Below are 7,348 nucleotides of genomic sequence, written 5' to 3'. Positions count from 1 at the left end.
TGAGAAGTCAGATGTATTTAATTGGTTATATTTGGGTAGACTGTTTTCTGTATGCTAATTTTATATCATGCTATTGTTTTCAGGACTTTTTCAGCTGGAACTGAATAAATTGTGATGGTCTTGTCCGAGACAGCTAAAATAACTGGGGTCTTACTCCACATGGTCCCTGATTCTCCACTAGGCTGGCACAGAATGGTTCACAGGTTGGTTGAATGCAGTACAGTTCCCTGGGTGGCCTTGGAGCAACCCAGTTCTTACTTTCTCATTTGTAGTTTTCAAGGTTAACTGTAAAATGGGCTGGGAATGAAATGTCTTAAGATAAGGGGGGGCTGGCTGAAATAACTTGGCTCTGTTCCAAAGCTCTCATAGAAACAGGATGTTCTTCAGTGCTTTAGCTCAGAAGCCACATTGCCCTGGGATAAGAAACACAGGGTGGACTGCTTTCTGGGGTTCCTCAGCTGTGATACAAGCGGGACACTCACAGCTGAGACTCCATCTGCTCCAGGAGGCTTTCGTGAGGCTCGGGAGACTGGCTCACCATACATTCTAGGGTTCTGTTGTTTTTTGCTAACTATCTGTAAGTTAACATATCCACCTCATGTAATTTGTGTATGTGGGTATTCCCCCTTCTAGGCTCAAGCAAGTTGGTAACCAGTGCATGGTGAAACTGATTCACAGCTGAAGACTTCCAAGACTGGTAAAAGGACAGACCCCATTGCACAAGTTCTTTTTAAGCTTTATAGTATGTTTAGTAGCATCTCATCAGACAAGGCAAGTCACATGCTTAAGACCAGAGTCAATAAGGGAAAGAAAACAGATTTACCACATGATGTGAGTTGTGGCAAAGTTTTGTAGCCATTTTTAAAGTATACTAGAACACAGAAGATTATCAAGGCACAAGAAATTTAGAAAACATGCCAATCTCTACTCTATCCAGTGATTTCTCAGTCAATATTTTGTTCACAAAATGGAGAGTTAGAGTTGCCAAAAAGTATATAAAGGGCTCATTTGGGCCTTTGATAAGATAGCCTTTAAGAGCCATTATGCTTTTAATCTCATCACAATGCTAGTTAGTTCATGTCTTAAGTCTAGCCCCTTATAATCCAATATGGTAGCCACTAGCCACATGTGGCTATTTACATTTGCTTTTAAATTATATAAATTAAATTAAATTAAATTAAAATTTTAGTTCCTTGGTCACACTAGCCACATTACAAGAACTCAATAGCCACACAAACTAGTTGCTACCATATTAGACAATGCAGGATAGTACAATTTCATCATTACAGACAATTCTATTAACAAAATTTGTACAGAAACTGTCCTGTGAGCATCAGATCAAATAATAGAGATGGCTACCAATTGAGCAATGCTTTTCAATTCAAAGGATTTTCTCAATGCCACACTATTAATTGCATTTTTCCTCTGAGAAATTTCAATTGACTAAGAGATTCTAAATATGAGTGCACCAGAAATGAAGAATTCCTTCTTTTTTTCTGGAAGTGACTCTTTTGACATCTGTCCACAATTATTAGCCTGAATTAGTCACATTTATCGCATTACATCTTATACAGTTTTGCACTTTTTTTGTTAAATTTGTCCCTAGGTATTTTAAATGTTTAGCTGCTGTTATTGTATTTTATTTTATTATGTATTTAATTGGTTATATTTGAGTAGACTGTTTTCTGTATGCTAATTTTATATCATGCTATTGTTTTCAGGACATTTTCCATTTTTTTAAGTTCTCTATCTTTGCAAATAGAAATAGCTTTAGCTTCATTCCTAATTCCTACCTCTAATTGCATTCTCTTGCTAGTTACTCCTACTGATATTATTACAATCCCAATCAGGGGTGTCTCTGTGATAAAGCAGCAATGCGAAATGTTTCCAGTGAGCAAAACATCTAGCAGTACATTTTCCCACATTGCCCACAATGAAATGTAACCAGAGTTTTGGAACTATTCTAAATTATAAGCAGTAGCCAACCGCTTTACTGGATGACCGAGAGCACATGGAACAAGACTAGAACTCATATGACAAAAACCTCTGGAGAAAAATTATGTAGATGGACCTCTCAAAATGTCAAAAGATGGTAATTATTTGCTCCTTGTATGAATCCTCATCCAAAGGCATCCACTGCAGAGGAGTATCAAATGGACAACATGATTTTTTCCTGGATGTCTATCAGCTTCCTTCCCCAGCCACCCTGTATTTTCTCAAGGGAAACATATAAGTAGAGATAGAGTAGGAATGGAAGCTGTGCTTAAAATCACAAATATGGATTGTACCTGTGACTGGTCTGGTCATTAACAATGCTAAAAGGCCCACTTCCAACAGTATAAACCAATGGTGACACACTTATATTGTTCTCTTGGGGGAAGCAGCTATCCATCTAGTGTCAGGTTGATTACATTGGAATCCTTCCATTATAGAGAGACAACAATTTATTTCTACTGGAATAGACAAGTATTCAAACAATGGATTTGATTTTTCTGTCCAAACTGTTGCTGGCAGCTTCACCATCTGTGGACTTATGGGATGCCTACATACTCACTATCCAACACAAAATTGCTTTAAAAAATGAATGCATTTTATACCAAAAGAAGGCCAGTATTGGACTTCTCCTTGGGTACTCAACTTTCCTGATGAAACAATGTAATGGCCTACTGAAAATTTACTTGAAGAATATAGAGAGGATAGAAAAATCCTAGAGTCATATCTTATAGGAACTAATATATAATTTGAGCCTAGAATCAATAGATGTTGCTCTTTTCCTTATAGCTAGAATATGTAGGTCTGGAAACCAAGATCTGGAAGTAAGAGTGACTTCTTTTGCATTATATTTATTTTTATCAACTTTAATTGGTAATAATTCCTTTGCAATAAGTAGTATTTTTATGCTACATTATTTGATTATTTAAAAAATGTATATCCACTGCCACACTCAACACAGAAGAGTTCCAAGAAATTTAAAAAGTTCTTTATGAGCATTTGCAGGCATGCCTCAAATTATTACTGGCCTGCAAAAAACACTCATTTGTTTCTCTTACTATAACAGAATTTGTAATTTCTAAATTTTATTTGAGTGAAAAAATACAGTATGTAATCTTCTTTCATTCAGCATAATTTTTAGTTTAGTAGATGTTACTGTATTTATCCATAGCTCTTTCCTTTTAATTTATTTTTAATATTCCATTTATTATAGACATATTACAATGTGTTATTAATTCCCCTATTGGAGACCACCTGGTTTATATACAGTTTGGGGGCTATCTTGAGTAAAGCTACTATGAACATCCATGTACAATCCTTTGTGTACACACATGCTTTCATTTCCTTTGCATGAACCGTGTGTGTGTATATATATATGTAAGGTAAATACATGCTTACTTTTGTGAGCAGCTGCCAAAAATATTTTCCATAGAGACTGTATATGAGAGTTACAGTTGTTCAATATTCTCATAACACTTTATATTGTCCATATTTTATTTGTATCCATTTTAATGAATATTCATTAATATATCAATTGGGTTTTGAATTGCTTTTTCTTGATGACTAGAAATGCTTAATTTGTCATATGATTATTGTCATGTGATTATTGGCTTTTGAGTATATAATTCAGTGAACTGTTTGTTTATATCTTTTATCAATTTTTAATTAATTTATCTTCTTATTATTGAGTTGTAATTTTTTTATATTATCAACATAAGTCCTTTATCAGTCATGCATATTACAAACACTTTCTCCTATTCTGTTACAACAATCACGTATTTGAGGAAAAAGCTCTATTTTTTAATCAAGTATAATTTATATTGCTTTCTTTTATTTATTTATTTTTTGCATGTTATAACTAAGATTTATTTATCTTCTTGTTTCTTTACTTACTTAATAAACTCTTATTTTAGGTTCAGGGGCACATGTGCAGTTTTGTTATTTATGTAAACTCATTTCATGGGGCTTTTATTTACAGATTATGTCATCACCCAAGTACTAAGCCTAGCACTCAATCGTTAGTTTCTCGAATCTTCTCCCTCCTCCTGCCCTCCACCCTCCTGTAGTCCCCAATGACTGCTGTTCCCCTCTTTGTGTCCATGTGTTCTCATCATTTAGCTCCTGCTTATAAGTGAAAATATGCAGTATTTGGTTTTCTGTACCTGCATTAGTTCACTTAGGATAATGGACTCTAGCTCCATCCATGTTCCTACAAAGTGCATGATCTTGTTCTTTTTTATGGCTGCATAGAATTCCATGGTGTATATGTACCACATGTGCTATATCCAGTCTTCCACTGATGGAAATTTAGATTGATTCCATGTCTTTGCTATTATGAATAATGCTTCAATGAATATTCATGTACATGTGGCTTTATGATAGAATGATGTGTATTCCTTTTAGTATATACCAAGTAATGGGATTGCTGGCTCAAATGGTAGTTCTGTTTTTAGCTCTTCCAGGAATCATCACATGGCTTTCCACAACAGGTAAACTAATTTTCACTCCCAACAATAGTGTATAAGCATTCCCTTTTCTCTGCAACCTTGCCAATATCTGTTGGGTTTTTTTGACTTTTTAATTACAGTCATTCTGACTGGTGTGAGATGGTGCCTCAGTGTAATTTTGATTTGCATTTCTCTAATAATCAGTGATACTAATCCTTTTTTCATATGCTCATTGGCCACATGTATGTCTTCTTTTAAAAAGCGTCTGTTCATGTCTTCTGCTGGCTTTTTAATGGGATATTTTTCCCTTGTAAATTTGTTTAAATTCCTTATAGATGCTGGATATTAGACTTTTGTCAGATGCATAGTTTGCAGAAATTTTCTCCCATGCTATAAGTTGTCTGCATACTCTGTTGATAGTTTCTTTTCCTACACTTAAGCTCTTTATTTTAATTGGATTCCATACATCACTTTTTATTTTTGTTGCAATTGCTTTTGGCATCTTTGCCATAAAATCTTTGCCAGTTCTTATGTCCAGAATGGTATCACTAGGTTGTCTTCCAGGGTTTTTACAGTTTGGGGTTTTACATTTAACTCTTTAATCTATTTTGAGTTTACGTCTTTAATCTATTTAGAGTTTATTTTTGTCTATAGTCTAAAGAAGGAGTCCAGTTTCAATCTTATGCATATGGTTAGGCAGTTATCTCAGCACCATTTAGTAGATAGAGAGTCCTTTCCCCATTGCTTGTTTTTGTCAGCTTTGTCAAAGATCAGATGGTTGTAGATGTGTGGCCTTATTTCCAGGCTCTCTATCTTTTCCATTCATCTATGTATCTGCTTTTGTACCAGTATCATGCTTTTTTGGCTACTGTAGCCCTGTAGTATAGTTTGAAGCCAGATAGTGTGATATCTCCAGCTTTGTTCTTTTTGCTTAGGATTGCCTTGGCAATTTGGGTTCTTTTTTGGCTCCATATGAATTTTAATATAGTTTTTTCTAGTTCTGTGAAGAATGTCATTGGTAGTTTGACAGGAATAACATTGAATCTCTAAATTGCTTTGACCACTATGGTCATTTTAATAATATTAATTCTTCCTCTCCAGAGGCATGGAATGTTTTTCCATTAGTTTGTGTCATCTCTGATTTCTCTGAGCAGCATTTTGTAATTCTCATTGGAGAGATTTTCCAGCTCCCTGGTTAACTGTATTCCTGGGTATTTTATTCTTTTTGTGGCAATTTTGACTGGAATTGTGTTTTTGATTTGGCTCTTGGGTTCACTGTTGTTGGTGTATAGGAACACTACTGTTTTTTGTACATTGTTTTTGTATTCTCAGACTTTGCTAAAGTTGTTTATCAGCTTAAGGATCTTTTGAACCAAGACTATGGGATTTTCTAGATACGGAATCATGTCATCTGCACACAAGGATAGTTTGACCTTCTCTCTTTTTATTTCAATGCTCTTTATTTATTTCTCTTGCCTTATTGCTCTGGCCAAAACTTCCAATATTATTTTGAATGATGTAGTGATAGAAGGCATCCTTTCTTGTGTCGGATTTCAGGGAGAATATTGCCAGCTTTATACCATTTTGGTTGTGGGTTTGTCATAGATGATTTATTATTGTGAGGCATGTTCCTTCAATATCTAGTTTATTGAGAACTTTTAACATAAAGAGGTGTTGAATTTTATCTAAAGGCTTTTCTGCATCTATGGAGATAATCATGTGGTTTTTGTCTTTAGTTCTGTTTATATGACAAATCACATTTATTAATTTGTGAATATTGAAGCAAACTTGCATCTCAGCAATAAAACCAACTCCATCATGGTGGGTTAGCTTTTTGTTGTGCTGGTGAATTCCATTTGTTAATATTTTTTGAGGATTTTTTTTTATCAATGTTCATCACGAATATTGACCGGAAGTTTTCTTTTTCATGTGTGCCTCTGCCAGGTTTTGGGATTAGGATAATAATGGCCTCATAGAATAAATTGTGGAGGAGTCCCTCCTGCTTAATTTTTTTGAAATAGTTTAGTAGGAATGGTAGCAACTCTTCTTTTTACAACTGGTAGACTTTGGTTGTACAATCCATCTGTGAATCCATCTGGTCCTGGGCTTTTTTTGCTTTGTAGGCTGTTTATTACTGATTCAGTTTCAAAGCTCATTATTGGTCTTTTCAGGGATTCAATTTCTTCCTGGTTCAGTCTTGGAAAGGTGTATTTGTCCAAGAATTTACCCATTTATTCTACATTTTTTAGTTTCTGTGCATGCAAGTTTTCATAATAGTCTCTGACGGTTACTATATTTTTGTGGGGTTAGTGGTAATATCCCTTTTGTCATTTCTCATTGTGTTTATTTGGATCTTCTCTCTTTTCCTTTTCATTAGTCTAGCTAGTGGTCTATTGTGCTATAAAGTTTCCTGTTAACACTCTGTTATCTGTGCCCCAGAGTTTCTGGTTTATTGTATCTTTGTTCTCATTAGTTTCAAAGAACTTCCTGATTTCTGACTTAATTTCATTATTTTCCCAAAAGTCATTCAAAAACAGGTTGTTTAGTTTCCTTATAAATTGAGGGTTTTGAGAGATATTTTTCATATTAAATTGTATTTTTATTGCACTGTGGTTCCTGAATGTGGATGGCATTTTTTCTGTATTATTTTGTATTTGCTGAGGATTGTTTTGTGTCCAATTGTGTGGTTGATTTTAGTGTATGTGCCATGTGCAGATGTATATTCTGTTGTTTTGGGTTGGAGAGTTCAGTAGATGTCTATCAGATCCATTTGGTCAAGTCTTAAATTTAGGTTCTGAATATCCATTTTAATTTTCTGCGTCAATGAGCTGTCTAATACTGTCATTGGAATGTTGAAGTCTCCCACTATTATCGTGTTGTAGTTTAAGTCTCTTTCAAGGTCTTTAAGA

The sequence above is a fragment of the Homo sapiens genome, chromosome 5 (assembly GCF_000001405.40).
Source record: "Homo sapiens chromosome 5, GRCh38.p14 Primary Assembly".
In the NCBI taxonomy this organism is placed as follows: domain Eukaryota; kingdom Metazoa; phylum Chordata; class Mammalia; order Primates; family Hominidae; genus Homo; species Homo sapiens.
This window is presented reverse-complemented; position numbering follows the sequence as displayed.